The sequence below is a fragment of the Homo sapiens genome, chromosome 15 (genome assembly GCF_000001405.40).
Source record: "Homo sapiens chromosome 15, GRCh38.p14 Primary Assembly".
Lineage (NCBI taxonomy): Eukaryota > Metazoa > Chordata > Mammalia > Primates > Hominidae > Homo > Homo sapiens.
The window spans coordinates 80,788,916-80,807,115 of record NC_000015.10 but is presented as its reverse complement, the minus strand read 5'-3'; the positions used below and the strand labels follow the sequence as shown (position 1 = coordinate 80,807,115).

General features: G+C 42.7%; 1 protein-coding gene across 9 annotated transcripts in view; it reads right to left on the bottom strand.

Moving 5' to 3' along the window:
* Window positions 1-18,200, bottom strand: part of CEMIP (cell migration inducing hyaluronidase 1) — a 172,402-nt gene that overhangs the window by 144,656 nt on the left and 9,546 nt on the right. For 3 of the 9 annotated variants that reach the window (XM_047432894.1, XM_047432893.1, XM_047432900.1), the window contains one exon: window positions 16,486-16,580. The exons of the other annotated variants lie outside the window; for them this stretch is intronic. The gene's annotated coding sequence lies outside the window, so the exon portion shown is untranslated. The remainder of the gene's footprint in view (window positions 1-16,485; window positions 16,581-18,200) is intronic. 9 annotated transcript variants of the gene reach the window in all.

Genomic DNA, 18,200 nt, shown 5'->3' with positions numbered 1-18,200 from the left:
GTTTTAAGAAAGCCCAGCCCACAATTTTAGTCTCTCACCCAAACTCATAATACTTTTTGTTTCTGACACTGATTTGACATTGATCACCGATTGACTTCCATGCACTATTTCTTGTGTTGCTTTGTGTTGTAAGCTGAGGCTCTTCTATCTTAAACGCAGCAGAACTTAGACATGCAGATGATTATCTCATCTAACACACCCTCTGGAGGAGCTAGGGACCTTAAAGCCTTCAGCACATCCTCAAGACTGTGCTTAAAAGTGGCAAATTTTTATCCGTCTTAGGATTTAATTCCCAGAAATAGACGGAGGTCATTTGAAAAGAAAACTGGAAAGTGAGCAGATGATCAAACAGGATAACGCTATGCATAAAGTGTGGCATAACTCCAAAGGTTAGAGATTATTTTTCTTCTGGAGCTTATAATCTAGTTCAGAAAGCAATTTCAAAGAGCTTTTCAAACTCTCTCAATCAGCTGTCCAGGGGAGCAATTATACTTAATTTTACCATGACCCTTTCCCCATCCCCTCTGCTAGGTATGTAAAACAGGTGGGATTTCACACATATTTAGTGAATAAATGATCAAATGGACAAATTCATCCCCATTTCCTCTTTCCTGGTTCCTGGAAGAAAATTATTCTCTTGGGTCATCCCATATTGCAAGGAGACCTTTTTCTTCTATGAGCGCTCACCATGAGCTTCTCTCCAGAATATTTTTCAGAACTGGGGTCCAAAGACTCCTATGGACATAGTCTCAAGGGCTCTGTCATACAAGCCTTTCTTCTAGATCAACTGGATAAGCCCTTGTAATGAAGTGCTGCACACAATTTCAACGCCATCTGCATTAGTGAATACCTTGGACCAAGTCAAGGTCAAACAATACCTAGGCACCTCGAAAGTTTTCACAGTAATTAGAATTAAGTGGTAGAAGAACTGAGTCATCACATGACATACGTTGGTATGGGCATGCCAGCCTCCCCAATAAAATGTGTTATAAGATATTCTGGTTGCTCACAAACGCATTTTACATACCTTGTCTTTGCCCTCACCAGCTTTCAGTTATTCATTACCAGTACATAAATACAGAGTGTAGAATATTCCATTAACCAGCAATTGAAATTTCTTTTAGTGTAAGGTATTGGGAGATTTCCTTTTAAAGCAACCAGCTTAATAAAATAATAAATTCATGTCCCAATGAGTTCAGTGTTAAAAAGTGGGAAAAAGTGACACAGGATGACTCAAACAATGGTCCTTTATACACAAAATTAAATAAGCTGAGACCAAAACAAGTGAAATGCAAAATGGAGAGATAAAACTTTTTCCTGTGAAGCCCAACATTGGTAGATTTGGCATATCAAGTTTATGTAAGCAATTTAAATTTGATTCATGTTAGAGTTTTGTTTGCATATCATTTGTAAATTTGTTTTAGATTTATAGATGTGTAAGAACTATAAGCTGAGGAATTTATACCTAGTTTTATGTTTGTATATATTTAAATAACATAATAATAAAGTTAATTAATTCAACAGTAGACATCCTTGGGAATGTTTTCCCTTAAAAAGAGTCTGTATCTTACTCAGGTAAGAACAACACTACTCCTGAGCTTCCTAACCACACGGTAACCACCAAAGGGAAGGCAGGCAGCTGGCTGGCAAATGCGTTTTTTAAACACCTAACTTAGTGCTGGGCAAGCACCCCAGCACGGGAACCGCCTGGCTCAGTAGGCAATTTAAACCTGAAAAGAAGGTCTGCTTGTTTGCATGTCTGCTTTGTAAATATTGTCCCGGGCGGGCAGGAAGGGGCAGGTTTTCAAAACACTCATAATCATCTTCTTCTGTGTATTCCTTTTGCTTCGGACCTGACTCACAGAATGCAAACAGCCTTTAGCAGCCTTGTCAAATCATGAAGCAGTTTCTCCAGGGCTGATGTGATCTCTAAGCCAGCCACTGATTTTATCAGTGCACAAAGCTTGTTTTGGGGGCTGTTAAGGCATAAATCCGCCTCTCCTGCTTTCATGTGGTTGTGAGACCTGGTGGGAGGATAGGTGTTGATACAGGAATTGGGGCCCTCTCGTGCTAGCTAAATGCACAAAGGGGAAAACGTGCAGTTCCAGGGTGGCCATGGTAGTTCTCCGTGCAGCCATGTGACTTGCTCCCAGCTTTGGATCTTCTAGAAATTCAGGCCCGGCTACCTTCTACATGAGCGATGAATTAAAGCCTTTCCAAAACCTTATTGTTGCTTTTATTAAGCAACAACCAAAAGCCTTTCCTATGTGGCCCTTTTGCTTGTCCCCTAGTTCAAGTACTATGACAAGAACTCTGTCTCCCCTTATCATCAACCAGAGGAAAGACCTCGGTTTTATCATACAAAGAAGATGAGTTTGCTGTGACATTACAGACTTTCCCAGAGGTTTAGAGATTTTCACCTGTGAAGGAATCCCAGTCATTCATTAGGAAAGACGCACGTGCTTTCAGCAAGTTGAAATCCTGCATGGAAACCTCTCCTGGGACATCTGGAGCAGTAGGTGAGGCACCTGGCATCCTTGCCCAGATGTCAGAGCTGACAAGAGCCTAGAGCCAGTCCAGTCCAAGCTTCTTGTTTCTCAGGTAGAGGAACTGAAGTTCAGAAGAGTCAACCTTCCTCCGGTCACATGGCCACATGGTATTGAAGCTAAAAGTAAAACCTAGGCCTTCTGTCTCTTAGTCCAGAGCTCTTTCCACCAAACCACAATTATGTCTTCAAAATAAAGGAGACACTGTCTCCCATATTCTCTGACTATGCAGCCATATTATTTACAAAAAAGGCACTGAAAAGCCATTGTTTTCTTCTGCAAGATGCAAGTCACAGGGATCAGCCTATAGAGCTGAAAAGAGATCTTGGGGTCTGATATGGTTTGCCTGTGTCCCCACCCAAATCTCATCTTCAATTGTAGCTCTCATAATTCCGATGCATTGTGAAAGGGACCTGGTGGGAGGTAACTGAATCATGGGGGCAGGTCTTTCCGGTGCTGTTCTCTTGAAAGTGAATAAGTATCGCAAGATCTGATGGTTTTATAAAGGGGAGTTCCCCTGCACAAGCTCTCTTGCCTGCTGGCATGCAACATGTGCCTTTGCTTCTCCTTTGCCTTTCACCATCATTGTGAGGCCTCCCCAGCTGTGGAACTGTGAGTCCATTAAATCTCTTTTCTTTAGAAATTATCCAGTCTCGAGTTTGTCTTTATTAGCAGCATGAGAACAGAATAATACAGGGTCCATCTGATTTATATTCCAGATGGGATCATTGCAGTCCAAAGACAGCCATTTACCCACAACAGAAAATGAGTCAGAGGCAAAGTAGAGACCTGTGGGTCTGGAGCCCAAGACAGACTTGAGCTCAGACAGCAGATCTCTTCCACGCCACAGATTAGCTATGTGTCTGTAGAACCGTTGCTTAACCTCTCTCAGACCCTTTTTTTCTCAGCTAGATAATCTGGATGGTCTAGAACCAACTGCATGGAGCTGTTGGGAAGTCTAAAGGAGATAATGAATGCAAATACTCATCACGGTGTCTGGCCATCAGCATCATCATTGTCATCTTCACCACCTTGTCTTCCCGTCCAGGGAACTTTCCATTATAATATTTTGCTGCTTCTAAGATTCTTTTTCATTTTTTTTTTAATTCTAAAGTTAAACGTTTTGGGTTTGGCATTTCTTAATCCAGTGCCTAGAACTTTGGGTCAAAATTGAATTGAATACTTTCCACACATCTATCAGGAGAATAGCATTCCTGCCTAGTGATCTGATGACCATGGGAAGTCATCCATAGCTTTCTGAAATATACACTCTTGTTCTAGGGAGAAATGCTGTCCCAATAACCTCCTTGTATATGAGGGGACAGAATCCAGCCATCCTGTGGCCCCAAGGGAGGTTCTGTACAACTCTGCGGGAGTGGTCACCCATGATGTAAAGTCTGGTTTCTTTACACGAGGAAGTACAGAGTGGCAGGAGCAGTTCACAATTGAGCTGAGGAATCACTCTCTTCCTTAGGGCTCTGAGAAGCGTGAATGAAGAATAATGGTGTTTAGGAGCCCTCCAGAGCCCAACCATGCTGGCATCCTGAGCTTGGACTTCTAGCCTCCAGAACTGTGAGAAATATATTTCTGCTGTTAACAAGCCACCTAATCTGTGGAACTTTGTTATAGCAGCCCAAACTGACTAAGACAGTGTCTCTGACAAGAGATCCCAGTTCGTCCTCACCATTCCTTTACAAAACCAAGGGTATTCCTCCCATCATTGTACAAATGAGAAAACACAGGCCTGGAGAAGTTAAGTTGCTAGTCCAAGTTCATACAGCAAGCTAGTAGCAGAATCTTGAACCCAGGACCTCTAAGTCCAAAGCCATTGCTCTCCTGACCACATTCCAAGATAGGCATGTGAACATGTCAGAAGTCTTCCAGGAAATATATCCAACCAATAGATTTATTTCAGTCATTCAAACATACAGAGAAAAGCAGCAGGAACTGACCCAGAATTGCAGGAAAGTGATGTCACTGCTCTCGCCAGCCCACGCCCCATGGTCATTATTTTAAAAGCGATGAGACCATCCATTAGAGCTGGCGCTGGAGTCATGCCCCTGTCAACATCCGGGTGTGTGGGCAGGGCCTGAGCACATCCTCTGGAGGCTGCATTGCTGACACTGTGGGTAAGGGCTGGAGCCTCGGTGGGTGGGGCCTGCCCACGCCCAGCTGAAGGCAGAGGCAGAGCCATCAGGAAGGGCGAAAGGGATAACAGGGCTTTGGCCCCTGCCCAGCAGCCGTTGATGGCTTAAGCCAGGCTTCAGGACATGCAGCCATGATTCTGTACATATGTCCCTTTCCCGCCTTATGGTGTCTGCCTCCTGGGTACCTCCACTCTCAGGTGCCAGCCCTGTGCCTTGTTACTGCTCCTTGTTACTGTGCCTTGTTACTCAGAGATTAGAAAGCTGATTAATGCAAGCACCAGGCCATGTTGGCAGAATTAGGACTCAAAGAAACAATGCAATATGACCCCATGAGTACTTCCAAGTACAATAGTACAGTTGTCCCTTGGCATCTGCACATTAGTTCCAGGAACTCCCTCAGATACCACACTCTCCAGATGCTCAAGTCCCTAATATAAAAGAGTGTAGTATTTGCATATAACATACATACATCCTCCTGTATACTTTAAATCATCTCTAGATTACTTATAATACCTAATACAATGTAAATGCTTTGTCAATAGTTGTTATCCCGTATTATTATCCTGTAAGGACAAGAAAAATAGTCTGTACATGTTCAGTGCAGATGCAAACATATTTCAAATATTTTCAGTTTGCAATTGGTTGAATCTATAGGTATGGAACCCACAGTATGGAAGGCCAATTGTACTACAGAGTAAGTACCTCTATCAAAGGTGGGTGTGGTGGATTGATCACAAAAATCAATCAACCATTCCACTCATCCTTCTCTCCTCCCCTCAGATCCTTGTCTTTTGCAATGTAACTATGCAGCTTCTCCCATTAAAAGGTAGAGTCTAAATCTCCTCCCCTTGAACATGAACTGACCTGGCTTCAGCCAAAAGAAAGCAGCAGAAGTGCTGGTGTGCCATTGGGTTTTGAGATCCAGGCCTCCAGAGGCCATGCATGCTTTCCTTCTCTCTCACAGAACAGCATCAGTCACCTCGAGAACAAACCCAGGCTAGTCTACTGGGTGATGAGAGACGCATGGTCCAGTCACCCTCATCCACTGAATTGAGAGCTAGCCAATGCCAAACACATAAATGAGGCCATCCTAGACCAGCCAGCCTCCAGTTGTTCTGCCGATAGATACAAAACAGAGTTGAGATTAGCCAAGCCTGTCCGGATCAGCAGAACCAGCTGGTTGACCCACAGGACAATAATACACAGTTGTTTCAAGCCACTGCCTTGGGGGTGGTTTATTACACAGCAATAGCTTACTGATACATTGGAGAAGGAGAGAGGGAACTCTTCACAGAGAAGGGGATGCCTCAGCAGGGTCAGGAAGAATGAATGGTAGTTTGCTAGATGATTGAGCAGAGAAAGCAGCATTTACAGCAGCAAGATGGCAAGAAGCAGCATTGCATCAACAGGACCATAACAATCCTAGGATGTTGCTAGAGTCTAAAACAGAAGGGAGAAGCAGCTGGACAAGAAGCTGGAGAGGAAGGTGTAGCCCAGCTACGGTAGGCCCTGGGCCCCAAGGCTGAGCTGTATCCCCAGAGATCCCCAAACCTCTGAATCAACAGTTTTACTTTATAACAGGTTTTTGGAAAGTTATTAGAAGGTGTAAACTCAATGTTTTTGCCCCTACATCGAGTACTGAAATATTTCAAATATGAACAGAGATGGCGAGAATATCAATTACCCTGCAAATCTATTAGAATGTGAATTTCTTCTCTAACTCTGATCTAAAGTAAGGTTTTCAAAAGATTCCCTCAAGAGCATGATGATGGTTTGTAAAGACTCCCTAAGAGCATGATCATGACATGTGTTTGATGAAAAATAAAGCCTGGATTTTGGAAAAAGTCCCAAAGTAAAATGACATGAAAATCAAGGTTTTCCCAAGATTTTATTAAAGAGAAATACCAACAGTTTAAAAGTAGTTGCCTCAGCCAATATTAAGTACCCCAGCTGTGGGAAGACGTGGAAAAGCCAGCCACATTCAGCCATTAATGATTTTATTCATTCATTCCGCAAAGGTAGCAGTCATTGACTCTGTCAGATCCTGCAATAGGCCCTGAGACTCTACAAATAAATGACATGAGACCTGCTCTCTCGGCAGTCCCAGACAGAGGGCGAGAAAGGACATAGAACCACACCCCACCATACGACTCACATGGGCTATAAGAATGGAGGTGCTCTGGAAACCCAGAGGATGGTGAGGTGATTTCAGCTACCCCTTCAACATAGGCTATTAACAAATTTCCAGCCAGGTGCAGTGACTCATGCCTGTAACCCAGCACTTTTGGAGGTTGAGATGGGAGGATCACTTGAGTCCAGGAGTTCAAGACTAACCTGGGCAAGATGATGAGATCCCGTCTACACACACACACACACACACACACACACACACACACACACATAAAATTAGCTGGCATGGTGTTATGTGCCTGTAGTCCCAGCTACTCAGGAGGCTGAGAGGCAGAAGGATTGCTTGAGCCCAGGAGTTCGAGGCTACAGTGAGCTATGATCATGCTACTGCACTCCAGCCTGGGTGGCAGAGAGAGACCTTGTCTCTCTAAAAAATAAAAAATAATAAATTTCTTTACAAAATTTGTGATCAAGTCAGGGCTTATTTCACTTAAGATGAAGACCTCTGGTTATACTACCATGTTGCTGCAAAAGACAGGATTTCATTATTTTTTGTGGCTGAATAATATTCCATTGCATATATATACATTTTCTTTATCCATTCATCCATTGATGGACACTTAGATTGATTCCATATCTTTGCTATTGTCAATAATACTGTAATAAAAATATAAGTGCAAGTATGTCTTTGATACTAATATATTGATTTCTTTTCCTTTGGGCAGATGCTCAGTAACAGGATTGTGCAGGGTAGTTCTATTCCATACACTATTTGTGAATAAACCTTTCATAAGCTCTCATTTTGCAGAAGAAACTATATATGACTCTCAAAATTGTGACTTCTCTCCAGACCAGGCCTTCCCTAGCCTGGGCCACAAGTGGGAGTCCCAGTGTGGCCTCTTTCAGGCCTCAACTCATTGAGAGAAACACAGACGAGGCCCTAGGGAAGAGCCATCTATTTCCTCTCCTAACCAGTGCTGCGCAGGGACTGCCTAGATCTCGTGCTCACAAGGCGGCTGGCAGCCCATTGTGCCACTCTGGGCTAATCCTCACTTGGCTAAATCCTTAGTGCAGAACATCCCTAAGCTGACCACATCTCTGCAAAACCTGAGACATACCCAGGCCTGGTCTGCTAAGATGGAATCTGTGAAGTTTGCCCAGATGGTCAGATCAAATGTCTGGCTGAATTCCCACTGTGCTAGCTTTATCTCATTCCTGTCATCTTCCACACTGGTAACTGGATCAAATAAGCTTTTACTGGCAGGACAAATCAACGGATAAAGGAAAGACTGTTCCATGAAGCTGTCCTGGGATAGCAAGTTAGTAAATTGAAGGGAAAAGTGTGTTAGAGTTTCTTCTTGCACTATGAACTGAAGTAAATTTGAGACAGGTCAAAGAACTTAAAAATCAATCCACGGAACCTCTAGAAGACTCTAGAATTGTACATTAAAAAATAAATCAATATGTAAATGATCAACACATTGAACTGCATGAAAATATTTTACATATTTTTCAAAATAACTGAAAGGGAAGAATGGGAGAGAAAACTTCAAATATGTAATGAGATCAGACCTACTGATAAGAAAAATATGAATACCCCATCAATAGGTATATGATATGAATACATAATTCCAAAAACTAAAAATAACTAGTAAACAAATACATAGGATGGCTTTCAACCTCTCCAGTTATCAAAGAAATACAAACCTATTAGCTATGAATTTTCACCTGTTAAAATGATTTTTTAAGTTATAGTAATATCAAATATCAGTGTAAATAACACTGTTGTACACAATTAGTGAGACTGTTAATTTGAATAAATCTTTGGAGGCCATTTTCTTGTTTACTTATACTTCTAGAAATCATTCTATGGAAATCAGCAAAACTTGGGAAAAAACATATAAAACGGTCATTTTAAATGTTAATAGTAAAAATTTAGAAAAATTTGATGTTATTTTATAGCAATTAAAAAGACGACTTTGAAAACTGAAAATGCTTATGAATAAACTTTAAGATGTGTTACGTATAAGGTAAAATTCTATCAACGTTATGTAAAAAATATACAGTAATAACACTAGAAAAATATTCATCAAAATTCCTATAGTGTCTATCTTCAGTAGTAGGATTATGGGTTTTTCTTTTTCATTTCTGTACTTTCCAAGTGATAAGGAAATACACGGTTATATGGCTTATATAATGGAAAAATGTGTAATATGTATATACACATGCACCATGTACATTCTTTTTTAAAAAGTAATAAAATACCTCCCTTGACCACTCCAACTCCTAGTTATTGCTCATTCCTCCAAAAGTCTTAGAACCAGGCTGGTTTCACACAGTGCTTAGAGCACAGACCCAAATGTTTGTGTAATGAATTAATTAATGAAGGAGCATTTCCTTTCTACACAGTGGCCTAAAACACAGTGGAGGCGGCCTGGCATTGCTTCCTAGTGAGGATGGGTTATACTCTGCTGTGGTAATAAAGAACCCGAAGCTGCAGGACTTCTTTCTCATCTAGTTCCCAGGTCCACCGTGGGTGTGTGGAGGACCCTGGGCTGTTATGGGCACCTAAGTACCCAAGCTGGCCCCTCCATCCAGGCCATTGCCAGTCACTGCAGCAGAGGAGAGGAGCTAAAGAACCGTGTGTTAGTTTTTGTACGTTTCTTCTAGAAATGACACACACAACTTTTGTTCATATTTCATTGACTAAGACAAGACACTTGACCACAACTAACATCGAAAGTGTGGAATGCATTAGCCTCCCTTGTGCCCAGAAAAAAAGAGGGACTGGATGTTGGTGAACAGTGTGACTGCTGCTTTTCTTGTGTACACATCTCTCTATCCCCTTAGACCATGAGCACCCCAGGAGCAGCTGGACCCTGCACGCCTCTGTCCTCCCTGCACTCTCCCTACCCTCCACACGCCAGCACTGCTCATGCCTGGCAAAGCACCGGGACACTGTAGGTGCTCCCTGTGGCATCGAATAGCGATGGAGGTTGTGTCTACACCAAAGATATCATGATCCCAGATTATATTCAAATACACATTGTACTCTATTTATAATCATCTATAATGATCTGCAATCACCTCCACTTCTCAATTTCTGACAATCACAGGTTGCTGTGCACAATTCCCGTAGGCAGTTCTGGCCAGGTTCGTCAAACTGGTGCCATGAAGTGTCACACGAACCTTTCCAACCTTACCTAATAAGACTTCTCTGGACATCTTTCATGCCAGAGCCTCATCTCTCTCCACATCCAGCTTCATCCTTACACCCCAGCCACCCTGAGCCACTCATAGCTCCTTTAATGTACCAGGTTATCTGATTGCCCTTTGCCTAAAATGCCCTCTCTAATCAACAGACAAATTCTTACTATACTTTGTAAGGTTCAAGTCAAAGATTAATTCCCCCAAGAATAATGAGGTCCCACTTTTCTGCCCACTCTTTGCCTTATATGGACATAAAATGCATTAATCTCATGTGTTCTCCTGACCCCAGTCACCCACCCCACGCTCCCAGATTGAAAGGTAGGAGCGTAAGTTACTGGGTTTTGCATTCTCCATGTCTGGTGTAGAGTGGTTGATTAATAAACGTTTGCTGAATAAATGGTCTAAGCAACTGCAATATCTCATGGTTTTATTGATCTACCTGGCAGTGACTCAGAGCTCTCAAGCCTTGATATCTTTTTCGGTAAACAGGTCAGACTGATAAATGTATTGGTGGCTTATCACACACATAAGTGGGACATGGAACATGCACCAACAGTCTTGTAATAAGAGCATTTCATCCAGAATACCCTGAGTCTGCTCATTCATTTCCTGGCAGTCTCCTTTCGAATACATCTTGGGTTTCAAGTTCTCCATCAGAGCTCTCCAGGATGAAAAATGGACCCACTGAGAGCACACATTAGTGACAGTGGATTTCACTGCAGCCCCATCCATTTGCTAAGCACTCTATAGTTCTGAGTGTAATCCACAAAGAGAAGCTACTTCAAAGCCCTCTTTAAAATACTTGCTAAGGCTGGGCACGGTGGCATGTACATGTAGTCCCAACTGCTCGGGAGGCCGACACAGGAGGATCGCTTGGGCCCAGGAATTTGAAACCAGCCTAGGCAACGTAGTGAGACGCCCCCGCATCTCAAAAACAGCTAAATAAATAAACAAAAAAGAAATCAAAATAAAATCCTGGTAAGCTCTTATTAAATGCTATTTTTAAAGTTTAAAGTTATGGGAAAAGCCACCTCTTTATGAAAATATTTTCTGGTACAAGCTGTGTGTTACTGCAATAATAAATTGCAACATGAATCAGAGGTAATTTTGTATCATTTCCTCAGAGATAATAACAAAAAACTCCATATCATTTAAAATTCTCTTATCCTCTGTCACCCAGGCTGGAGTGTAGTGGTACAATCATGGCTCCATGCAGCCTCAAACTCCTGGGCTCAAATGATCCTCCTGCCTTAGCCTCCCAAGTAGCCAGGACTATACATGTGAGCCACAGCACCTGGCAATTCCTTTTTCTTATAGATGGGGGTCTTGCTGTGTTGCCCAGGCTGGCCTTGAACTCCTGGGCTCAAGAAATCCTCCCACCTTGGCCTCCCAAAGCACTGGGATTATAGGTCTGAGCCACTGCACCTGGCTTTTCAAGAGCAATGAATAACTCCTGTTGAAAAGATGCAAGGTTTCTTGCTTGGCCGTGCCCAGTGTGTCCTGGAGTATAATCTCCAGCCCAAACCCACTCTAGTCTTCCTAACATCCACCTAGATGCTCATCCCACCACCTGGGAGTTCTCCTGGACACCTCCCTCTCCCTTACCCTATGTCCAATCCACCATCCTGTCTGTCCATTGCATCTCCTAAACACCAGCTGGATCCACCCACACTTCTCCTTCCCCACTGCCTCCACTCCAACCCACCATCACCAGGTCCCTAGCCCAGCACCATAGCATCCCCTGCCATCTTCCTGCATTTATTTTTGCTAACTATTGCCTATCACCCCCACCTACCCAGACAGAGAGCAGCCAGAGGGATCCCTTTAAAAAAAACAGAAAAATCAGACAATGTAACTCCCCTGCTTGAAATTTCATGTCTTCCCATTGCTTTCAGGATGATGTTCACAGTCCTGAGCATGGTTTAAAAGATGCTGCATGATCCCCTTCCTGCCCCCTCACCCCTGCCTCCCCTTCAGTCCTGCCTTGCTCCTCACCTCACTTTCCCTGCCCCAGCCAATCTGGGCTTCTCTCACTCTCTGTCTTGAGGCCTCTTTGCATCCTCATTACCTAGGACATCCTTGCCCCCACTCTTGGTCTTTCTAGCTTCTACTCACTATCCTCCTAGGCTCTGCCTATGTTGCTTCCCAAAAGAGGCTTTCTCTCCCTGCTCCCACTTCTACTTCCACCAGCCACTTGTAGCAGATCCCCTATTTTTTCTCCTCAAACCTTTCAACTTTTCTTCATATCACTGGCCACAGTTTGGAATCACATACGCCCGTGATTTTTTCATATCTATTTTTTTATATTTGTCTCTCTCCCTAGACCTACACTGTTCCACTAGCCGCCTGTGGCTATTAAGCACGGGAAACATGGCAGGTCCGAATTGAGATATGCTGTAAGCAGAAAATACATACCAATTTTGAAGATTTAGTATAAAAAAATGTAAACAATCTCATTACTTTTTATAGTGACTACCTGTTGAAGTGACAATAGTTTGGATGTATGAGGTGAAAATAAAGTATATTATTAAAATTAATTTTACCTGTTTCTTTTTAAACTTTGTCTTAGTGGGGCTACTAGAAAACTCAGAATTCCAAATGTGGCACCCATTGTATGTCTCCTGGACAGCACTGCTCTAGACTGTAATCTCCATGCAGGCAGGTCTCAGCTCATTTTGGTCACTGCTGCATCCCCAGAGCCTAGCAGCCTCTGCAATATTATAAGCTGACTTCAGTAAACTGCTAAATGAGGGAATAAATGAGTGAATGAGTCAGACAAGCAAAGGAAAAACTTCTGGTTAAAAAAATAGTCATATGAATATGGATACTACAAGTTTGTAAGCTCACTGTTATTTTGTGTGAGGGAGAAATTTCTGATTTGGGACCATTTGGAACAAGCTACAACCCTCTCTAGGGGCCAGATGGGACTACTAGGTCACCTGTGGTTAAACCAGATAAAAATCACAGACAACAGAAAGGCAAAGATAAACTGCTGGAGGGTCTTTGACCTCAAGTTGTCCCACTTTTCAAATCCCCAAAACCAGGAACCCACTTGGCAACACTTTGACCTAAAAATAAAATCATAAATAACAAAAACAACTTGACAAAAGCATTCTACTTAAGTTCAAAGATGACCCTAGTGTTAATAAAACTGTAATGAGCACCTATTAAGAATTTCTGGCGGGGATGCCCAGTTTCATGTGGTGTTTGTTTTTCATCCTATCCCACTAATGAATATTTAGCTCAGTGTTTCCCCAACATAGGTCCCACAGCACCCAAGTCTCAGAAAGTCCTCTGTGAAAATAGAAAGGGAATTCCCTAGACCAACACGTCTGGGAGATACTATACACTATGCACCTCTCCCTGAGAGACATGGTGCATGCTGGTTTACAAAGCCATTGAGAAGATCTTGGAAAATGAAAACAGGTCAACTTTGTTTATCCCAGTTTGTCTCAAACTTGTTTGACCTCAGAATATCTAGTAACAGCTCAAGGAAGCGATGCTCCCAAGAAATGCACTTTAGGAAGGGCTCATCTAAGCTTCATTTCCAAAACCGTAATTAGTGATAAATTATTCTGATCTTGTGGGTAACCCTACCTGTGGGAAACCCAGCTGTGATAACCAGAGTTCCACCATTCAATGGTAACCACTCCCCTTCACTTTGGGTAAGAGAAAAACACCCACCACAGAAGACTTAACCTCGTGTTGATAATGTGTGTAGTTATGCATAATGACAAGTAAATAAGGAACTTTGAGGGCGTTGGTCTAACACACCCAAATTAATTATGTGCCTCTCAACATCTTCCAGTTTCAGAGAGCAGAAGGGGGAAAGACGTCCTGAATGAAAGCAAATAATTGGACAGGTTACACAGCCAAGCTAGGCAAGGAGTTTGTGCCCTTCAAATTTCACTATTGCACCAACCTGCTGCCACCCATGTCAATCTCAAAACCTGCAGCTCCAACGCTTACCCTCTTAATGTGATATTCTGAGCCAGGGCACAGAGATACTAGCAAGTCTGCTTTTTACACTTCTTAAACTGTATTTTCATCAGAAGTCAGAAGACCTGGACTACCTTTCTCTATTCTGTGTCCTACCAATATATGTAAAGCACTTATAAAGTGACTGTAAGTAGTAGGTCTCAGGAAATGCTAGTAAGTAGCTCTCCTCTCAGGACAACATTCATGCCTGAATGTCTCAGTTCTGGAGATACAATGGTGACTGAGATGGACTAGTTCCTGATCTCATGGAGTGTTGAGCTTGACAGACACCACACCGAGGAGACACAATCTCTATCTCTGCAAGGGAACACTAGAGCACATGCCTTGGCCATTCAGATTCTTGTTCTAGGACCAGCTACTGCCCATAGCTTGCCAAAGGTTTAAAGTTTGTAAATTCCCCCAAAGTCACAGCATGGCCATCTCTACATACAGTGTCTGCTAATTCAATCAGCTACATTGACAATTGGAAGAGACATGCTATTTTGTATACCTAGTATGTACAAGATCATAACTCTAAGAAGTTGCCGTGTATTAGTTCACATAGTACACAGAATAATATATAATCATCCTATTTTAGGGGATGGATAAGCAACTGAGGCACAGAAAGGTGAAGTAACCTGTCCAAAGTCAAGCAGCTAACCAGTGCAGGAGGTAGATTTATAACTGGGACTGCTGGGCTCCAAAGCTTATGCCCTTTCCCAGTTTATTACACCAGCTCTAATATTCTACAACCCAAGGAAGATATAAAGTAGACAGCATGCAAACTGGTGGAGAAAGAATATGGAGAACAGTTTATTTTGCAGTCAACAAAACCTAACTGGGCCCTTCCTGGAATACTTCATTATTTCTCTCTTTTTGTCTGATTAGAACCATCTTGGAGATATTGGTGATCTGAATTTAATGTGTTTCTGTTGAATGGAAGAACCCAGCCTTTGTGACTTTCTCTCCTCTGGCTACTTGGTGGGCATACTCAGATTTGCTTTAAGACCACATACAGGGATGGCACTAAAAGAATATTTGTGGGTGGGTTTATTTTGCTAAAATCACCCAAATGTCTGATGACAACTACAGTGCAGAGAAGAGATGAGGACTACGGAAGGTCACCCAGGGGGCATCGGCAGACCAGACCGCATTCAGAGTATCCATCTCATCCAGTTAAGCTTTGAGGAAATTTGAGCTGAATCTGCATCCTTCGTGGTGACTACTCCCTCCTCCCCAAAGGGGAGTCTCACTTGAAATGCTGTCCCTTTATCCCACTTTCCCTCTGCCGCCTCTGCTGCAGGTCAGTCAACAAGGCAGTTAGAAATGTGTCCAAGAATTCATGAAGAATTATGAAAAAATCATAATATCTGCACAGCTCACAAAAAGCCAGCACAGAGGCCACAGGATAAACCCTCCTCACCCCAGCCCTGAGACTGCATACAGCAAACAGGGATGCATCGGTCCAAAGGGATATTGTGAGACAAGGGCCTGGGATTAGGAGCCTCGGAAAATTTTCCTCAAGGGCTTGGAGCCTCTACTTGCAGCGGGAAGAAACCTCATGTTGGCAGCGACTCGAACCACAAGACCCCTGAAATGTCCCTGATTTAATCTTCTCTCTATCACCTTCTGGGCCCTATTACCCTGGTACCAACAATTCACTTCGGACAGCGCAGTTATCCTTCTTGCTGAAGGGTATTTACTGAGCCCTAGCAGTGACATTATCCGATAATCTAGAGTGAGAAGTGGGATTCTGGAATGCATTTCTTACCAAGAACACCACCCTTGGGAGGGAGGAAGACAAGCCCAACCTTAGATACCTGCCACCAGGTACAAGGACCTAACACCCACCAATTGATCACACACTTCACTCAGGTGAAAAGCTGAACTCCCTGACTCAGCTTTTAAGGATCTACAGCCCTGCCCCACCTTTATGATCTCATTTCCAGCCACAGGAAACTTCTAGTTCTTCTCTAAATATCTTTTTTTTTTTTTAATCCTCTGCATTCAGTTCAAGATATTCCTTCCTTCTTAACCCTCCATTCTCTGGCCTGGGAGAAATTGTACTTTTCTTTAAGGCCCAATCAAATATCACTTCCTCCATGTTACCTTGTCTCTTTCCCCAGCAAAGTAGTTTACCATCACTTTGTAGTGCTTCCATATTGCTTTGTTTATGCCTCTGTTACAGCATGGATTGTAGGTAGTTGAATGTATGTCTGTCTCCTCAACTAAACTGTGAGCTTTTCCATTGCAGGGAAATGCAACGGAGTCATCTCTGAAACCCAAGTATCTAGAAAGAATGGGCGGGTCAATGATGAGTGCATTCGGGTTACAATTACTCTCAACGAATTCAACTCTATGAATACTGTTCTATGAGTCTGATCTACTGTGAATTCTAATATTCCCCTCAACATGTTTTTTCAAAAGTCAAGATTTGAGCAACATTAGTTATTATGAAGAGCTTTTGGACTCACGGTGACATAGGTCTGAGTTCCAACTCCACCACCTTGAGCCGAGTGACCCCCACCTGGAGCTGCATAAGTGATGCGGCTTCACTGACCTTCTCCATCTGCAAAACAGGACAATGTCTTGTTCACAGTTGTCAGGAAGTTTAAATAAGATGATGCATGCAATGCTGTCTGCGTGAGTCTGAATGTTTTAGTTGCCCAATAAGCACTGAATATTAATGATGCTGATGGAAATAACCATAAAGCCACAGGAGTACAGACCTCTGAGAAATTGACTTTAGTCAGGCTTTAGTCTCATTCAAATACCAGAGCAGAATACACAAGAGTGAACATCAAATGTAGTGAGAAATGTACATGCTTGGGGGGCTGGTGTTCAGACGCAGGACTCATTCATTTGAATATTTAAAAAATATTTGAGCACCTACTATGTGCTAGCCCTTGGGAGTAAAACAGAACATGAAAAGTCTCTGCCTTTGAGCCAAGTAGGGGTCCTGTCTCTGAATGAAGAAAGGACTCTTTATTGTATTGGGACGTGGCTGAGATGAGAAGCCATCTCCACTGAGGGAAACCACAGACTTCTGCACCACGTATCCCACAATGGCCACTAAGGGCCCTTCATGAGCAGGGCTCTATTCAAATAGTGACTCTGCCTCTCTGCCCCTCGTTCCCCCTGAGCTCAGAGGGGTGATGTCCTCAAACAACCTCAACAGAGCAGAAGCTCAAGTTCATGCTTATTACACAAGATTCAACGGAAGTATCATCTTTTTGTATGTCAAAAATAGCTTTTTATTTAAATAAATTTTATATGGAGATGTTTAAAGTAAAAATGAACTTCACTACATGGTCATTCTCAGAAAACTCCAGGATATGTTAATGTGTCACCATTTGTAACATTACACTGTGATTTTAAAATGTAGAACAGATTTCAGCTGTTTCTCAGTCACCTGGAAAGTTCAGGCATACACATAACCCACAATTATGTGGTCAGAGGAATCTCCAAGCCTCTTCAAAGCTACCAACTAAACAGACACCACTGAGATGACCACGCCTTTTTATTTAAAAAAAAAATCATTTAAGCAAGAAGAAATCTCTGCATATGGAAGTCCCAAAGCCAAAATCCTCCAACTGCTTTCTCTCTCACTACCAGGAACTGAATTGAGAAATCTGATGAACTCTGTGGCTTCTTAAGCAGTCACAGACTAGTGACACATCAGCCCAGCAGAATTTGCAAAACATTCTACTACGGAGCACCACAATTCCTGCCCTCTCCGAAAAGGAAGGGAAGTAAGGGAGAAGGGAAGAGAGCAACGTCAGATCCCAAGTCTGAAGAGGACACACGTTCCTGTCTTCTCCACTTTCTCTGGAAGCCCCACACCCCAAATTCAAATCAACAGGGCTCAGAGGAGCCTTTAGCATCACCAAAGGGCTTGTCTGCCTTGTCTCTGGTACTGATCTCTGCCTGGGAGACCACAGCAGAACCCACACCAACTGGGATGCTAACCTTCCAAACAGAATGGGCCCTGGAAGTGGGTGTTTACCAGGGACAGGATGAGAGTGAGATAAGAAAGGCACTCGCCTTGGGTGCAAAACTGAAGAGGCCACCAAAAAACTCAATAATCAATATAAAGAATAGTGCAATGCAACACTTTAAAAACCAAAATTAGCACCAAAAATTTCATGATGAATGAAATATCAAAATTCTAAATAAAGATAGGGTCAAT